Source organism: Homo sapiens, chromosome 1 (assembly GCF_000001405.40).
Source record: "Homo sapiens chromosome 1, GRCh38.p14 Primary Assembly".
Taxonomy (NCBI): domain Eukaryota; kingdom Metazoa; phylum Chordata; class Mammalia; order Primates; family Hominidae; genus Homo; species Homo sapiens.
This window is the reverse complement of record NC_000001.11, coordinates 2785139-2803192: the sequence shown is the minus strand read 5'-3', so window position 1 is coordinate 2803192 and position 18054 is coordinate 2785139. Positions and strand designations below refer to the sequence as shown.

At 57.2% G+C, this 18054-nt stretch overlaps 1 protein-coding gene across 1 annotated transcript in view, besides 1 other annotated feature; it reads left to right on the top strand.

The window, feature by feature from the left end:
* Window positions 1-1499: 1499 nt before the first annotated feature.
* TTC34 (tetratricopeptide repeat domain 34) overlaps window positions 1500-18054 on the top strand; it is a 164708-nt gene continuing 148153 nt past the window's right edge. Inside the window, exons 1-5 of the mRNA NM_001242672.3 lie at window positions 1500-1616; window positions 2325-3149; window positions 12847-13690; window positions 15487-15712; window positions 17170-17374. Of these exons, the coding sequence (NP_001229601.2) occupies window positions 2366-3149; window positions 12847-13690; window positions 15487-15712; window positions 17170-17374 (2059 nt within the window). The 5' untranslated portion in view covers window positions 1500-1616; window positions 2325-2365. The remainder of the gene's footprint in view (window positions 1617-2324; window positions 3150-12846; window positions 13691-15486; window positions 15713-17169; window positions 17375-18054) is intronic.
* Window positions 12250-12909: an enhancer, noted in NCBI's record as "H3K27ac-H3K4me1 hESC enhancer chr1:2706849-2707508 (GRCh37/hg19 assembly coordinates)". NCBI's record gives its function as "activates a minimal SCP1, AML or CMV promoter by ChIP-STARR-seq in naive H9 embryonic stem cells {active_cell/tissue: H9 hESC(naive)}" and the evidence as "EXISTENCE:reporter gene assay evidence [ECO:0000049][PMID:30033119]".

The window sequence follows — 18054 nt, the reverse complement described above, 5'->3', positions numbered from 1 at the left end:
TTCCAGGCTCATCTGGCCAGTGCCTGTGGGCCCCGGGCAGGGCACTGTGCACAGGGCAGAGACGCAGGGGGCCCATCGGCACTGCTGTGATGGCAACTGTCGCGCAGACCTGCCACCTCTGTGCCCCGGGCTCTTCTACAGCCCTGGTGACAGCCCCACTCCATTACAGCTCTCGCCTAATTAGGGCAATTAAAATGAAAGTAATCAACACCGAGTAATGGGCAATCTCTTAATAAACTGCCCCCACTGCATTACCCGCACAGGCCTTGGGCCCTGGTGAATGTCATGGAGCTGAAGAACTGGGCCAGGCAGCCCCAGCCCTGCTGACCCCCCTGCCCTGCACCCTCAGACTGACCCTGACTGCTCTGCCCACGCTGCAGGGGCTCCACACCCTCCCCAAAGGGCCTGCGGGGCATGTCTCAGGAGACCCAGACATCGAGGGGATCAGGGATGCCACCCCCCACTCCCAAGATCTCCTCCCCCAAAGGGCACCCCCAACCCTGCTTCCCTGAGCCCCACAGAGGAGCCAGCATTGGCCTGGTGTCCGGGCACCTTGGCATCCTGAATTGGGAGGGACCTCTCTCAGGGACGCACCACCCCCATTCCCCCCACTCATGCCTGCCCTCCAGGGCAGCTGCCGGTGGTGGGGTCTCAGCTTCAGGGACCTGAGCCTGCCTCCAGCCACCCCACTCAGTCTTTCTGCTCCTGCGGCATGGGCTGACGGTGGCCACGGGCTGAAGGTGATGTTTCCTAAAATAGTCCCTATGCTGCCACCCCTTCCTCAGCAACAATCAGGGTCCCTGGGCAGTAGGCTCAGGTCATGGCTCCCAGAGCTGCCTCTGGGCCTCAACCCTGTGATGGGGGAGGGGTGTGCCCTCGGCTAATGTGCCCTGCCCTCCCCAGGGCACAGCTGGCTCAGCTGGTGCAGGCAGGACAGGGCTGCCTAAGCCTCTCAGAGGGAGGACGGCCAAGGGAAATGGGCTGGCTGTGCACGGAAGGTCCAGTCCCAGCTGCCGGCACAGGGAACAGCCTGTGGGGAGGTGCCCCAGGACCGGGTGACAGGGCCCTGCCAGAAGAGGAGTGAGGCTGGGCGGTGAGGGGCCCGCATAGCAGCCCAGGCGGAGTTCTGGGGGACAAACCCAGAGCCTGAGTGCACTGGGTGGGCAGGCGGCCCCCACCTGCCTCCAGGAAGCGCCCTCCTCATCTATGTGGAGAGGAGGCTGGGGGCACCCTGGCAGAGCAGGCAGGGTGGAGGCTGGCCCCGGCTATGGGGGGCTGTACCCCACAGGCCCCTTCTCCCCCAACACCCCCATGAACTCAGGGTTCTCTGCTCTGAGGCAGCCCATTGGAGCCTGGCTGGGGCAGTGTGGGTGGGACCTCGGCCTGGTAGCCTCTGGCCACAGCGGGGCGCTGCAGGACAGCCAGGAGACCCAAGGGTGTTGACACTCTCCCGGGAAACCGCAGGCTGTGCCTTCCCCAACCCACACGGGGCGGTCATAGGAGCCCCACCCAGGCCTGGGCCCTCCAGCCAGCCACATCCCTCTGTCCCCCACCACCCACGAGGGAATCTGGGTCCCCAGGGCACAGCCGGCTCAGCCTCCAAGCTGCAGACGAGTGTGAGTGTGTCTGTGTGTGTCTGAGAGCGGATGCTGGGGGCTGCCTGTTTGATGAGGGAAGAAAGGGCTGTGCGGAGCTAGTTCGTCAGGTCAAGTAGCTTGGGGACAGGGAATAGGGGAGTACCAGGGGCTGTCCCTGGAACCTCAACCTCAAAACTGAACCCCCCCACCCATGGGCTGGGGTGGCTCCCCCGACCCAAGGGCCTGGCAGGTGCTCTCGGCGCCCCCCTCGAATGGCCCAGGTGTGAGAGGGTGGGCAGGGGTGTGGTCCTGCGTCCCACTGAGAGGGCTGCCTGGACTGACGGGGGGTGTGCCTTCCTGAGGGGCTCAGGGTTGGGAGGGGCAGAGGGTGGGTCCGGGGTTCCTATTGCTGGGCCCTGACACCTCGGGCCACCGTAACCCTCCCGACATGGACACTCAGGGGTCAGATGTTCTTAGAGGGAACTGAGCTGGGGGAGGCCACTGTCCCATTCTGCAAGGCACGAAACTGAGGCCCCAGAGGTGAACAGTGGGCTGGAAGTTGGCCTGGGACACCTGGTAGGCCCCACCCCACCAGCCCAGGATCCCCCCAGTTTTCACCCAGTGGGGTCTGCACTGACCGTGGGGTCAATGGGAAGGGGTGGAGGTGGCTTGAGGCTGGGCACGGGTGGCCACAGGGCAGGAGAACTGGCCGCCCTCTGTGGACTCACCATGCTCCCCCACCCCCAGGTACTCTGAGGACCAGACATGGGCCCGTCGGGGTCCCAGACATGATGTCAGCCCAGGAGCTCGTGGCCTGCCTCTGCCGGGAGGGGGAGCAGCATCTGGCGCTGGGGGAGCTGCCCCTGGCCACCGCCTTCTACCTGGCTGCATTCAGCTGCCACGCCCCCTCAGCCCTGCAGAGTGTGCGCACTGCCCTGGCCCAGGCTCGGGGGGCGGCGGTGGTGGCCACCCTGGAGTCCTGGTGCCGCGGGGACAGCCAGATCCCCGCCATCCACTGGGACGGCATGGCAGTGGTCTCCCTGACAGGGTCGCTGGCCTCTGCCTTCCTCGGCGCCCTCTGCCCGGACCACCCCGCCGCCATCCTGCACCTGCTGGCAGGTCTGCTGGCCCGCGGGCGTCACGAAGAAGTGGTGCAACGCTGCAGCGCCCTGCTGGACTCTCATGCACAGCAAGTCCTGGAGCTGCGGCTGACCCGCGCCCTCGCCTGGGTCCTGTCCGGGGTGCAGGCAGCGGATGGTGTGGCCGCCTATCTCCAGGCCTTCGCCTCCAGCGCCGACCGGACGGTAGCTTTCATTCGCACCCACCAGCGGCCCCACCTCCCCGCGCTGCTCAGTGCCCTCCAGGACTACCTCTCGGGGCACCCGGAGGCTGGGCACAGTGCCGGCCAGCAGGAGACCGGTGGCCAGCGACTCCTGGCGGCTCTGGACCCCAGGGGCACCCGGAGTGACACCCTGTCACCTGAAGCTCTGCTCCACAGCGGCAGGTTTGAGGACTGCCTGGCAGCATGCAGCCGGGCCCTCGAGGCCCATCCCACCGGCAGCGAACCCCAAGGTAGGAGGACGGCATGGCCCCTGCAGAGCCAGGGTGAAAGCTGCCCCCGCCACTCCCTCCCCACATGGTTATGTCCTGCCATGATGGGGTGAGGCTGTGCTGGGGCTGGGGTGCCTCAGTGACAAGAAAGTCAGGCCCTGCCCCTTTGGAGCACCCAAAGACACAAACAAAATGCATGCTTTAAGAAATGGGATGGGCAAGGTACTGCTCCAGCCGGTGATCAGGGAAAGCTTCTCAGGAGAGGAATCATTTAGGCTGAGAGTGAGGGTTCCAGGCAGCAGAAGCAAATGTGCCAAGTCCTTAGGGGAGCAAGAGCTTGGGCTCCCCCTGCCACTGAGGGGGCCAGGGCGACTGTCGGAGGGAAGGGGAAAACGAATGGGAGACTGAAGATGGCAGCTGTGGGGCTAGATCCTCCTGGCCTCCCAAGGCCCTTGGATGTTACCCTCAGTCTGTGAGGCTGAGCTGTGGAGTGAGGTACTCTGAGCTGCATTTTTTTTTTTGAGATGGAGTTTCATTCTTGTTGCCCAGGCTGGAGTGCAATGGGGCGATCTCGGCTCACCGCAACCTCCACCCACTGGGTTCAAGAGATTCTCTTGCTTCAGCCTCCCGAGTAACTGGGATTACAGGCACCCACCATCATGCCTGGCTAATTTTTGTATTTTTAGTAGAGATGGAGTTTCATCATGTTGGCCAGGCTGGTCTCAAATTCCTAACCTCAAGTGATCCACCTGCCTCAGCCTCCCAAAGTGCTGGGATTACAGGAGTGAACCACCGCGCCCGGCGCCTGATCTGCATTTTTAAACTTTCCTCTGGCTGCCATGTGCAAAATGTGCCAGAGGAACCAGAGTAAGGACAAGACCTGCTGGGAGGCTGGGAGGCTGGGGGGCCGGGAGGCTAGGAGGCTGGGAGGCTGGGAGGCCGGGAGGCCGGGAGGCTGAGAGGCTGGAAGTCTGGGAGGCTAGGGGGCTGGGAGGCTTGGAGGCTGAGAGGCTGGGAGGCTGGGAGGCTAGGGGGCTGGGAGGCTTGGAGGCTGAGAGGCTGGGAGGCTGGGAGGCTTGGAGGCTGAGAGGCTGGGAGGCTGGCAGGCTTGGAGGCTGAGAGGCTGGGAGGCTGGGGGGCTGCGAGGCTTGGAGGCTGAGAGGCTGGGAGGCTGGGGGGCTGGGAGGCTTGGAGGCTGAGAGGCTGGGAGGCTTGGAGGCTGAGAGGCTGGGAGGCTGGTGGGCTGGGAGGCTTGAAGGCTGAGAGGCTGGGAGGCTGGGGGGCTGGGAGGCTTGGAGGCTGAGAGGCTGGGAGGCTGGGAGGCTGGGGGGCTGAGGGGCTGAGAGGCTGAGAGGCTGGGACGCTGGGGGGCTGGGGAGCTGAGGGGCTGAGAGGCTGGGAGGCTGGGAGCCTGGGAGGCTGGGTGGCTGGGGAGCTGAGGGGCTAAGAGGCTGAGAGGCTGGGAGGCTGGGGGGCTGGGGAGCTGAGGGGCTGGGAGGCTGGGAGGCTGGGGAGCTGAGGGGCTAAGAGGCTGAGAGGTTGGGAGGTTTGGAGGCTGAGAGGCTGGGGAGCTAAGGGGCTAAGAGGCTGAGAGGCTGGGAGGCTGGGGGGCTGGGGAGCTGAGGGGATGAGAGGCTGAGAGGCTGGGAGGCTAGGAGGCTGGGGAGCTGAGGGGCTGAGAGGCTGGGAGGCTGGGAGGCTGGGGGGCTGGGGAGCTAAGGGGCTAAGAGGCTGAGAGGCTGGGAGGCTGGGGGGCTGGGGAGCTGAGGGGCTGAGAGGCTAGGAGGCTGGGAGGCTGGGGGGCCGGGGAGCTGAGGGGCTGAGAGGCTGGGAGGCTGGGAGGCTGGGGGGCTGGGGAGCTGAGGGGCTGAGAGGCTGGGAGGCTGGGGGTACTGGGGAGCTGAGGGGCTAAGAGGCTGAGAGGCTGGGAGGCTGGGGGGCTGGGGAGCTGAGGGGCTCAGAGGCTTGGAGGCTGGGGAGCTGAGGGGCTAAGAGGCTGAGAGGCTGGGAGGCTGGGAGGCTGAGAGACTGGGAGGCTTGGATGCTGGGCAGCTGAGAGACTGGGAGGCTGGGACAATGGTTCAGGAGAGAGTTGATGGAATTCAGATCAGGGAGAAAGGGTTGCAGAGAAACCACATGTCTGAGAGTTAGAAGTGACGAGATTGTGGGTAGATTTAATGGTGGAGAGACAGGCACAGAGAAGGAGGGTCAGGAACGTTTTCTGAGTTCATGATGAGCAACTGAACTGTGGAGGGAAGCGCGGATGGGAAAAGGGGTGTCAGAGGTTTAGACGCCCCCAGTTTGAGACACTGCTCCTGCCCGGTCCCTTCACTGCCTCTTCCTTCTGGAGGAGCACCCAGGGCCACAGCCCAGCCTACTGCCAGCACTCTGCCACCCTCGGATCCCTGAGTGCCTGAGACGAGGCTGCGTCTCCACCCCAAAGGCTGCTGTGTGGATTCAGTAAACATGCACAGCAAACCCTTAGAATAATGTCACCTACTGAGTGCTTTACACACAGTCCTTTGAGCCCATCAAGCCTCATGTCATTAGGCAGCCAGACAGGTGAGCCCTGAGGTGAGAGGAGCTCAGTTTGAAAAAGGGGGGTTTAGGGTCAGTGCAAATGAGAGGTTGAAAGTCAAGGCTCCCGACAGAGGCAGGAAGTGGGGCCACGAGGCATCCTGGAGCAGACAGGACCTCCCTGGCGTGAGTGTCCTGCAAGGCACTGCGGCTCCCTGCCCTTTCCTCGTGCCCCAGCCCCCATCCCAGGCCAGCAGACATCTGGAGGTGAGGATGGCAGTATTAGCTGCCGTTTACTGAACAGCTAGTGGGTGGGCCCCATTTGATGGGTTTGATGTGCATAATCATGGAATCTGCAGAGCAGCCACCATCCCCATGAGACACGGGGCTGCCAAGGGCATACGGAGTGCAGGCAGCTAGGACCTGGCCCCTGGGGTGCTCCTAACCGCCCTCCATACTGTGCTTCTGGGGAGGAGCAGCCCAGGAGGACAGGAAGAAGGAAGAAAATTCGGAGCCCGTGGGGTGACGGATCAGGGCCAGAAGAGAAGGGGGTTTGCAAGATAAAGACAGGTAGGCAGCCCTGAGAGTGGCCACAATGTCCGTAAGGAGAGGACAAGGAGTGTGCGTTGGGCGTGTGGTGCCGAGGTTCTTGGTGACCCCAACGAGAGGGTGGGGCAGGAACCAGTTAGAGAGAGCTGCAAAGTGAGCAGGAAAATTTGTTTCTGGAAATATGCTCAAATATGTTGAGCATTACCAGAAAATGATCAACAAAGTCACACCGAATCGTGAGCTTCTGAGGAAGGAGGGGACCCCGGGTGCCCAGAGCACAGGCACTCAGGGGCTGGTGAGGACCATGCCCACAGCAAGGGGGCTCCAGGAGGGAGGGGGCCTTCCACTTTAATGATCACGCAGGGGCAGGGCATGACTTAAGGGTGTGGGTGGGGGTCACACTAAAGCTCTCTGCAGAAATCCAGAACCCCCCAAGTGTTGCAGGCTTGGGGAATGTGAGGGAAGACCCAGCTCCTCCAGGAAGGCCACCGGAAGCTCGTCTGTGTCTGCCGTGGCTCTGGTGTGTACAGGGAACACCTGCCCTAAGAATTGTGCATCCATTAGACCCAAGTCACTTCGGTCAAGGGACTCCCCACATCGCCAGCACCAGCACAAGCATGGCTTACGATGAGAAGAGAAGAAATGAATTTTCCTATAACAGACTTTTTACAGATGCAGTTTCCTGCAACAAATGACCTTCCATCTGGAGGTTACTTTCCAAAGTCCTTGGAAACATTGCACAAACCAGTCGCTCCATTTGTGCTGCTGTGACAGAATGCCACGGGCTGGGTGATCCATAATGAGTAGAAATGAATGAGCTCCAGTTCTGGACGCTGGAAGCCCAAAACCAAGGCCCCAACAGGCTTGGGGATTCGGATTCCAAGATGGCGCCTTGAATGCTGCATCCTCACTTGGCACAAGACAGAAGAGCAAAGAGGCGAAAGGGGCTGAACTTGCATTAATCCCACCCACAAGAGCAGAGCCCTCATGGCCTAATCATCTTCAAAGATCTGACCTGTCAATACCATTACAATGGCAGTTAAGTTTCAGCATGAGTTTTGGAGGGAACAAACATTCAAACTGTAGCAAAACCCTTCTATAATCTGGGAACTTTCTTTGCCCTCTTTAGTAAGTAGACATGCAGCGATACACGATGTATGAGGACAAGATACAGAATAAATACCACTTTCCCTCAAGGTAGCTGCTAAGTAAGCATCCAGGTACCATGGCTCCCTACGTGTTTGTCTTACCAAAGGACTGGGATGACCACTTCCAATTTGTTTAAGGTTCTTCATTAAGAGCGCTAGGAAAGGTGACAAAGCATAGCTGTGATTCCTGCTTTCCTCCCAGCAAGATGCAGGGTCTGTTCTCCGTACAGAATCTGGCATGGCCTTGTGCCTTGCTGGGACCAGTAGAATATGGTAGAAGTGATGGCTTGTGCTTCAGGAGCCCAAGCCTCAGAGGCCCCACGGCTTCCACCTTCACCTTGGAATTCTCCCAGGGCCATGTAAGGAAGCTGGAATCATGACCAGTGAGAGAACACACAGACAGAGGCTCAGCTGACAGCCATCACCAAGGCCCCGGACACATGAGTGAGGCCACCTTAGAGTCTCTTGTCCGGTAAAGCCACTGGATGGCTGCAGCCACCTGAGTGACCCCTGGTAAGACCAACAGAAGAACTGTCCAGCTTAGGCCAGCCCAAACTGAGGAATAATTATGGGCAAATATAAATGGTTGGATTTTCCTTTTTGAGACAGGGTCTTGCTCTGTCTCCCAGGCTGGAGTGCAGTTGTGTGATCATGGCTCACTGCACTCAATCTCCCAGGCTCAAGCAGTCCTCCTGCCTCAGCCTCCCAAGTAGCTGGGACTATAGGTACACACCATCACAACTGGCTAATTTTTTTTTTTTTTTGTAGAGATGGGGTCTCACCACGTTGCCCAGGCTTGATTGTTGTTTTAAGCCACTAAGTTTTACAGTGGATGGTTATGCAGGAATAGTTAGCTGAAATAACTGCTGACCAGGTCAAAACATCAGTTTTGATGCATTTTAGCCAACATTTCGTCAAATATTATAATATAGAACTTAAAATTTTATGTTTCCAGAATTATATAATTCACTACATTAATAATTAATGGAATAAAGAACATATTATCATTGCAGTAGATTCAGAAAAACTGTTTTATAATATTTCACATTCCCAGAATTTTAACAATCAAGAAACAGAAGAAAACTTACTTAATTGAAAAAGATAATATCTATCCCAAACCCACCATAAATATCATACTCAATGGTGACAATTCAGAAGCCTTCCATTTAAAATCAATTACGAGGAGGCTGTGCACTCTCCCAGTTACTCATCATTGTGCTAGAGATCCTAGCCAATGCAATAAGGTAAGAAAACAAGACAGAACATGTAAGACCAGAAAGGAAGTCACAAAGTTATAATTATTCCAGGCAATATGATTAGCTATGTATATAGAAATTCCAAAAGAAGCAACAAAAAGGTATTAGACATTGTAGCAAAATTTAACAAAATATGCAAAACATTATTTATATTTATAAATACCAGCAACAAATAGATGCCCTGTGTCCCATTTACCACAGGGACAGAAAATGATTAAGTTCTAAGAGTCACATGACTTTATGGAAAAAGTATAAAACTTTATTGAAAGATAATAAAGAATACCTATAGCCATGCCTCAGTGGCTCATGCCTGTAATCCCAGCACTTTTGGAGGCTGAAACAGGAGGAACCCTTGAGCTCAGAAGTCTGACACCAGCCTGGGCAACATAGTGGGAACTGGTCTCTACAAAAAATTTTTAAAATACAAAAAAACTTATCCAGGCACGTGGTGCATACCTGTGATCCCAGCTACTTACCAGACTGACATGGGAGGATCTCTTAAGCTTGGGAGATGAAGGCTGCAGTGAGCTGTAATCACACCACTGCATGCCAGCCTGGGCAACAGCAAACATTGTATCAGAAAAGAAAGAATATCTATATAAATGGAGAGATATTCACTGTCCACAGAAGAAGAAGGAGGGCGAGGAGGGGAAGGGAGAGGTAGGGGAGTGGGGAGGTGGGATGGGGGAGAAGAGGAGAAGGAGAAGCAGAAGATGGAGAAGGAAGAGGTGGCAGTAGAAGGATTTGCTCTACCAGTTAATATGAAGCTATACTAATCAATACGGAAGTTTATTGACTTCAGGAATAGATAGAAAGACCAATAAAATGAATTAGAGAGCTCAGAAGTGGACCCACGTCGATCTAAAACTTAACAGGTGACAGATGAGTGTTGCAAATCTATAGAGAAAGAAAAGGAGCATTATTCAATGGAGGGTACTGATTTCCTACCTCTCACCTTGCAAAAAAGCGAATCCCAGGTGGAAATTGCTGCATTTTACAGTTTCTAAAAGAAAATATCTGAGAATGTCATTAAGATTTCTATGTACAGGTGGGCTTCTTAAGATACAAAACAGGGAATCAATAAAGAAAAATTTAATACATCTGATTAAACTAAAATTTAAAACTTCTATTTTGCCCATAACTATAGAAAATAAAGACGATCCACAAAAGGAGAAAAATGCTTGCAAAATATACAATGAGCAGATAAATTAGTATGCAGAGTATTTGAAGAACTCCTACATATCAATAAGAAAAAAAATTCAATACAAGACTTGGCAAAAGCATTCCCCAAAAGAGGAAACACAGATGGCTAATAAAACATGTGAACAATATTCAGCATCATAGTAATGAGACAAATGCAAAATTAAAACAATGAGAGACCATTTTCCACCCACCAGATTGGGGAAAAAAATTAATAAGTAAACCTCACTAGTCATCAGGAAAATAGAAATTAAAACAATAATGTGATAGCATTTACATTCCTCTCAGCCAGTCAAAAATTGTCTATCTAACAATAGAAGATCTGGCTTCAAGTTGGCTTCAAGTCACTGTGGAATAGCTTGCCTACATGTCCCACAGATAACGATTATAAAAGCTGGACAAAATATAAAAAGTGACTATTTGAAGGCATGGATTCGTAACCACATGCAGGCAGAAACTAGTAGCTGACCCTTGAACAATGGTGTTGTGTGAGGTGAGATGTGCACCCCGCAGCTCTTCACCTGAGGGGGCTCCTCAATCTATGAGTCATTGTTCAGCAGATGCTGGCGTTCTCCTGGCTTGAGGTAGCACAGGACAGTTCAGGGCTGAGAAAAATGGATGGAAAGTTAGATGAAGAATCTTGAAAAGGAGGGAGCCACAGAGGGGGTGCAGCACCAAATCTGTGTATTAAATCTACTTAAATCTCCAGCCTACAGAACTGCACATACAGAGGTAAAGACTAGCTGGGCTGAAAGAACAGGCACTGGAAGCTGCAAAAGCTAAATGGAGACTTCAGCTCTGTCCACCAAAAAGCAATAGAATTTGGAGTTTAAACCCAGCCAATTTCACTGCTACTAAAACAAAACTCAGCTCTCTTCAGAGGAATGTAACTGAACCCAGAGTCTCCACAAAGTGTCCATCATGCCTGGTGTGTGGGAAGAAACTACTATTCATGCAAAGAGACAGGAAAATAAAATATGAGCTACAGTAAGGAGAAAAAGAAATCCCTAAAAACTGACTTCAGGAAAATGTGGACCTAACGATTGAACTGATGTGGAATCTTCATAGATAAATGGAAATCATATAAAGGAACCAGGCTAGGCATGGTTCCTTATAAAAAGGAGTACCAGTACTTTGGGAGGCTGAGGCGGGAGGATCACCTGGGCCCAGAAGTTCAAGACCACCCTGGGTGACAAAGTGAGACTCCAACTCCAAAAAACATCCAAAAGTGAGCTGGGTATGGTGGTGCATGCCTGTAGTCCCAACTACACAGGAGGCTGAGCCCAGGAGGTCAAGGTTACAGTGAGCCGTATTTACACCACTGCACTCCAGCCTGGGTGATGGAGCAAGACCCTGTCTTTAAAAAAAAAAAAAAAAAAAAAAAAAAAGCATATGGCAAGTCTAGAGTTGAACAGTGCAATAATTGAAATGAAAATATTAGCGACAGTAGAAGGGTCGGTGAACTTGAAGACAGAATAGAAATTACTCGATACGAAGAACAGAAGAAAAATGAACAGAGGCTGGGTGACCTGGGGACAATATCAAAGTCTCGTGTGTGTAACTGGAATCTCGGAAAGAGAGGAGAGATCACCCTTTCACGTGGGAACATAAATAACAGCGCCCCATCACCCTCAGGTCCCAAGGGTTCTCCCCTGGCTGCAGCTCCCTCGGATCCATGAGCCACTGCAAAAATCAGGGGTAATGTTGTGTTCAAGGGTCAGTAGCTGGCAGGAAAGGCTCAAAGTGTCTTTTACTTTGGCCACCAGAACTAGACAGAGTGACCTTGTGGCTGCTTGCATGGCTAGTCTCAGGGCACGAGACACCTTCTGTGCTGGACTCGGCGCTTACCGCAACAGCAGCAGGGCAGTGACCGCAGCGGCTTTGCTTCTGTGCCCTGCGTGGTATTTTGCCCTCTCCAGAATCCTGTTTGAATGCAGCAGATTGTTGCTGTTGTTGCTATTGAATGGGGTTATAAGGAAAAGCTGTTTGAAAATTCTGAAGGAGTCAGTGCAAAAAGCACTGAAGCAGAGGTTCAGAGGTCTGGGATGGACCCTCAGAACGTCCCTCCCCTGCAGCACCTTCGTAACCTGTGAAAATAAGGGCCATGACCTGAAGCCCGCCCAGCACGGAGTATCCCCGCCTCTCCCAGTGGCCTGTGCACCCTGCCTGGGGCCCTTTTTGGGATGGGGCAGCTACACTTCCCTTACCAGTCAGAAAGCCCCATTCACGTTTGCTCAGACACACTGGGGTGGGGGGCAGGTGCGCGGGGAGGGTGCTGGGGGAGTGGGGGTGGGGATGCTGCCCCTGACCTCACTGACTCACACGATGCACCAGGCCCCTTCCAGGCACTGGATGTAGGTAGATCCGTTTAATCCTCACCCCCTGCGAGCGTGGATCATTATAACCCATTATAGTGCAGACCAGGGAACAGACGCAGGAGACTCCGTAAATGCCCAGGTCCACCCTCAGTAAGCAGCAGGGCATGCCCCTCCAGTCCTAGACCTGAGAGAAGAGCTCTGCTACAGAGAGGGAAGGGCTGGGTCCCCACTTGGCCCAAAGAAGGCAAGAAACAAAGGCGCCCAGGAATAAATGGCCACTGCAAAGGTCATAGAGTTGGAGCTTCAGCTCTGCCCTGGGAGTGGAGGGGCACTGATTCCCAGAGGAGGAAACTCAATCCTAAAACCCATTATTTAAATGTCAGGCAAGGGAAAGGCGTTGTAACTGAATTTGGTTTGCACTGAGCGGTGGGAGTGACTCTGAACCCACCCTGAGAGCACAGTGTCGCTGGCAGGCCGGGCGGCTGCCCCCTCGCCGCTTGCCCAGCACGGTTCTCAACCTGCCCCGTCGCTCATGGGCGTCGGGCCTCCTGCCAGCTGGTGTCCTGGCGGTGCCATACCCAGGGCCACCTGGAGACTGGAGGGAGATGCCTCGGGCAGGAGGACTCACAGTCTCCTGAGTCCAAGCCCTGGACCTGGTGGGGACTTGCAGGTGGCACCCCCGGGGAGTCGGCCCCCCAGGCAGAACCCACGCCTCTGTTTCTCTCCGCAGGTGAGCGCCGAGCCGCCCTGCTGGTCACCCGCGCGGCCTCGGCCTTCTTCCTGGACGGCCGGGCCCAGGACGTGTTTTGGAACCTGCAGGAGGCCTTCCGCGAGAGCCCCTCTGGGGCGCGGAGGCAGTTCCAGGCCGTGTTCTCTGTCCAGGACCAGGAGCGCGTCCGGGCTCAGGCGCAGGAGGCCGCGGACGTGGGCTTCGCCCGCTTCCAGGAAGCCGTGCGGAACCACCCTGAGCTCCGCGAGGATGCGGGCCGCGAGCTGCTGGCCCCGGTAACCCGCGCGCTCCGCGTCCTGCTTCGCCTGGCGCCTGCCGGGGCGCGACCCGCGCTGGGAGCCCGCCTCGCCGAGTGCCTGCTGCTGGCAGGGGACGCGGCGGGCGCCCGGGCCATGTGCGAGCGCCTGCTGCGGCCCGCACGCCCTGAGGACCCTGCGGGGGACCGTGCAGGGGACCGCGCACCTCTCCTGGCTCTGCGCGGCTTCTGCGCGCTGCACGCCGGGGACTCGCGGCGCGCCATGGAGGACTTCCAGACGGTAGTGGAGCAGGGGGCGCCGCACCCGGGGGGCTGTGTGCGCGCGCTGTGCGGCCGGGGACTGCTGCGGGTGCTGGCGGGCAGCGCGTTCCTGGGCACGCTGGACTATGTCACCGCCTGCAGGCTGCGGCCCGAGGAGGCGCTGCTGGCCGCCAAGGCCTACGTGCCCTGGAACCAGCGGGGGCTGCTGCTGGTGGTGCTGCGGGAGGAGGCCCGTGGGATGCTGCAGCGATCTCCACGCGCCGGGCCGTCCAGAGCGCAGGGCCGGAGGGAGGCCGCAGAGACGGGCGGCCCCACCACGCAGGAGGGGTGAGGACCCGCCCGGGCACGCTGGGGCCGCTGCTTCCTGCGGGTCTCCTTCGAGGTAGCGACGGATGTGTTTCCTCCTATTTTACAAAGGAATGAACGGAGGCAGTGGCTGGTGACTTCCCAAAGCACCCGAGGCAGGTCTAGCTCCGCTGCTTCCATCGACCGGGCCGCAGTCCGGAAATGGAAATCCGCGGCTCACATTTCCTTCCAGGCCTTTCGTTTGGTGCATGTAAAATAGCTCACCAAACCGAGTCTGTGCTGGACATGCTGTTCATATGCTAATTTTCTTACTCAATAGGTCATGACGATTCCCTTTGTGGCTAAATGTGTTTCCGGCAGCACCGCCCCGACCTGCGCCCCTGCCACTACTCCTTCCAGCAGTCCTGGGGTTGGTTTGTTTTGTTTTGTTTTGTTTTTTGTTCTTTGAGATGGAGTCTTACTCTGCCGCCCAGGCTGGAGTGCAATGGCGCAATCTTGGCTTGCTGCAACCTCCGCCTCCTGGGTTCAGGCCATTCTTCTGCCTCAGCGTCCCAAGTAGCTGGGATCACCACGCCCAGCTAATCTTTATATTTTTAGTGGCATGGGGTTTCACCATGGTGGCCAGGCTGGTCTCGAACTCCTGACCTCAAGTGATCCTCCCACCCGGGCCTCCCAAAGTGCTGGGATTCCAGGTGAGCCACCGCGCCTGGCCTTTGTTCTTAGCTGTAATCCCTCGTGGGTAATGTCCTGTCTCCAGGATGTTCTCTCCATGAGACGGAGACAGGCATGCAGTTCCCGGGTCAGGAAGCGCCGCCACTTGTAGGATCCTTGACTTCAGGAGCTGCCCTCCTCCCACCACAATCTGGCCACCGCCCATCCCCCACTCACCCTTGATGCTCATTTTGCAAATTATTTGCCAGCCCAAAGCCCAGTGGGTGAATCCCTAGCTGCTTTGACTTCCCTCGTGTAATTGCTGGGAGGTGGCAGGAAGGGGTTTCAGCAAAGTTAAAAGCACTGAGTCCGGGGGGTGGGGGCGGTTCTTGGAGGGGCATCATTGATGTCAGCGTCCACCCCAAGGCACACACACAACACACACACGCACAACACATACATAACACACACACAACACACCAGACACACACCATACACACCACACATACAACACACACACCACACACAACACACATGTACATAACACACATACAACACACAACATGTACATAACACACACACAACACACAACATGTACATAACGCACACAAAACACACAGAGTTCCTCTGCCTTCTGGGTGTTTAATTTGCGTGGCTTTGATTTGCTGCTGGTAAGAAACTTTCATTATGTGATGGCATTTATATTTGTTCTCTGGAAATTGTCAAATTTGAGGATCTGGCCCCATTTCCCAGTGAGCACTCAGTAACATTCCCACATGGGCACAGGAACATGCCAGGTGCAGCCATGTGTTTTCTTGTTCTGCCTATAGGCACACCCCTGAGCCCAGCAAGGCCAAATTGTTCGTCTGTGTTTTTGCAGAAAAGGAAACTGAGGCAGGGTCCACACAGGGTCAGCCCTGCCTCTGCCTGTCTATACCGCCACAATCCCACCTCCCACAGGGTAGGAGAAGGGCAAGGGAGAGCGTGAGGGCCGCATGCTAGGAAGGGCACCTTTGGCTTCTGGGGATGGTGTGGCGTGAGGGTCCCTCCGGAGGGAGCTGCCCAGGCCAGGTACATGGAGACGGGATTTCCCCACTGCCCAATCACCTGGGCAGGTGGAGGGGTTGTCAAAAGGGGCATGCCCCCCTGAGCTGATCTCCACACAGGGTCGCCTGCGGCGTGCACCAGCTGGCCACACTGCTGATGGAGCTGGATTCAGAGGACGAGGCCTCTCGCCTCCTGGCGGCTGATGCCCTGTACCGCCTGGGCCGCCTGGAGGAGACCCACAAGGCCCTGCTGGTGGCCCTATCCCGGAGGCCCCAGGCAGCCCCTGTGCTGGCACGACTGGCCCTGCTGCAGCTGAGGAGGGGCTTCTTCTATGACGCCAACCAGGTGAGGAGGCCTGGGGGGTGACAGAGGGCAGGTGGAAATGGGCCCAGCTGGGAAGAGGGCACAGGCCTCCCGTGGCCCTGGCGCTGGACCCCACAGTCTGGGCTTTGGACCAGGCGACTGCATTCAGCCCCAGCTCTGCACCTGCTGCAGGCCCTCACCTACCTGACCCTCAGTCTCCTTATCTGGGTCCTGGTCCCATGGGTTGTCATGGAAATCGGCTGGGGCAGGTCCCCGGGGCCGGCAGTTTCCCTGCATGCGTAGCTGCTTTGTCGTACTTGCTTCCACTGTGGTTACGAAGCATAAGGGCCAGGAACCGACTGCAGGCCGAGCTTCTCTCCAAGTCTCTCACATAAACCAGGCTTGGATGCAACCCTGCCTTGGGGTGGGTAGCAGAGGGGACCTTCCCTCCTGCCTCCAAGACCCCCTGCTCCCAGGAAAGGCAGACCCTTACCTGCCTCAGGTGCTATCCCGGGTTCCTGTTTGAACTGGGGTCTAAAGGTTACACTCTGGTGGGATTCAGGCCTTGGGGCCTGGGGTGAGGGCCTTCTCGCGTCTTCCTCCCCCTGGGGCCCGGTTTGGGTCCTGATCTCCTTGCCCTGCCCAGGTTCGGATGCCCTGAACCTGCATCCTCTTGCTCAGCTTGGGGAACCCGTGTGCCCACCAGCAGCCAGCAGGGGGCAGCATTGGGCCTCCTTCGGATGGAGTCGCGGAGAGGGGACGTTGTGGGGTGGAGGTCTCCCCTCGCCCAGCGACCTGGTCCTACTTGGCCGTGCTGGGCTTTTGCTCCGCGTCGTCTGAAGGACTCCCTGGCGCCTGTTGACCCTTCATGACCTAAAAGCCCCTTCCTCTGCTTCTCATTTGGACCTTGCTCCAGTGGGCCCACTGGGGCGGAGTCTCCACCTCCATGGGATGGAGAAGTCCTAGGCTCGGGAACCCTGAGAGTCCCAGCCCACCAATGCCATCAGCAGACAGATGCGGCTCAGACTGCAGCCCAGAGCGGGCTCACGACTCCCCTCCCTACCTACTCCTCTGCACCAAGGTGGGGACACACAGTCCCTGGCCGCTGTGGGACCCCCACCTATGGGGAGACAAAACGCCCCCAAAGGCTCAAATGGCCACATCGCAACACACGGCCAACCTCCTAGTGCTCAGACAGGCAGAAGCTCCCAGGCTCATGGACACACAGCCAGGGGCTGGTGGAGGCAGCGAGGCAGTAGGGGAGGATCGGGGTGATGGCACAGGGCGGACCCTGGCACAGAGAGGGTGGGGTGAGGAATTGCCAGGGGCGTTGGAACTGGGTGAGCCGTGGGGCAGCAAGGGTGGGACTGGGAGCGTTGGCACCAGGTGGACCCTGGGGCAGTGAGGGTGGGGTGGGGGATGGCCAGGGGCGTCAGTACAGGGTGGGCTCCAGGGCATCGGTCCCAAGGGCATGGGCAGTGACTGTGGCACCCTTGCAGTTGGTGAAGAAGCTGGTCCAGTCTGGTGACACCGCCTGCCTCCAGCCCACCCTGGACGTCTTCTGCCACGAGGACCGGCAGCTGCTTCAAGGCCACTGCCACGCCAGGGCCCTGGCCATCCTGCGGGCACGGCCAGGCGGGGCCGACGGCAGGGTTCACACCAAGGAGGCCATCGCCTACCTGTCTCTGGCCATCTTTGCCGCAGGTAGGAGCTGCCCACCTGCCCCCAGGGCCCAGTCTTGTGCCAGGCACAGGGGACATGGGGAGTCTCTGCCATGCTGGTTGGTGGGGACACGCATGCTCCCCAGGTGCAGGGGCCTCAGGAACACCCACGGGTTGGACAGGGCAAGGGCCACTCGCTGAGGGCATTTCACCTTCAAGGTGGGTGCACCAAGGCCTGAGACCAGGCTCTGAGACCTGGGGCCTGAGCTGGGACCTGAGCTGTGCCCTGCCTGGTGCCTGAGCTGCCGTCCCAGCACCCCCAGTCCTGAGGGGAGAAGGGCCCCTTTCCTAGCTAATGACAAGGAGGCGAGGTCCCTGCTCCCCTCAGCCCTTCCTAGAAATAGTGACAGGCTCCTCCTATGCACGCCTGGCCTCCCCACCCTGGGACACCCAGCACGGGGGTGCTGCCTGCTTCCTGGAGTCAGTGCTGTTTCTGGGGTTGGGGGGCCAGGTGTCTGGAGGGAAGGCGATGTTTCCCAGGACTCGCAGGGATCTCCTGGGGTACAGGGAGTGTGAGAGCCTGGACCTAGATCAGGCTGCCACGTGGAACCCGGCCATGCACTTAGTAAGCACCCCTCATCCTCCTCTCCCAAGCCTGGACCTAGATCAGGCTGCCACGTGGAACCTGGCCATGCACTTAGTGAGCACCCCTCACCCTCCTCT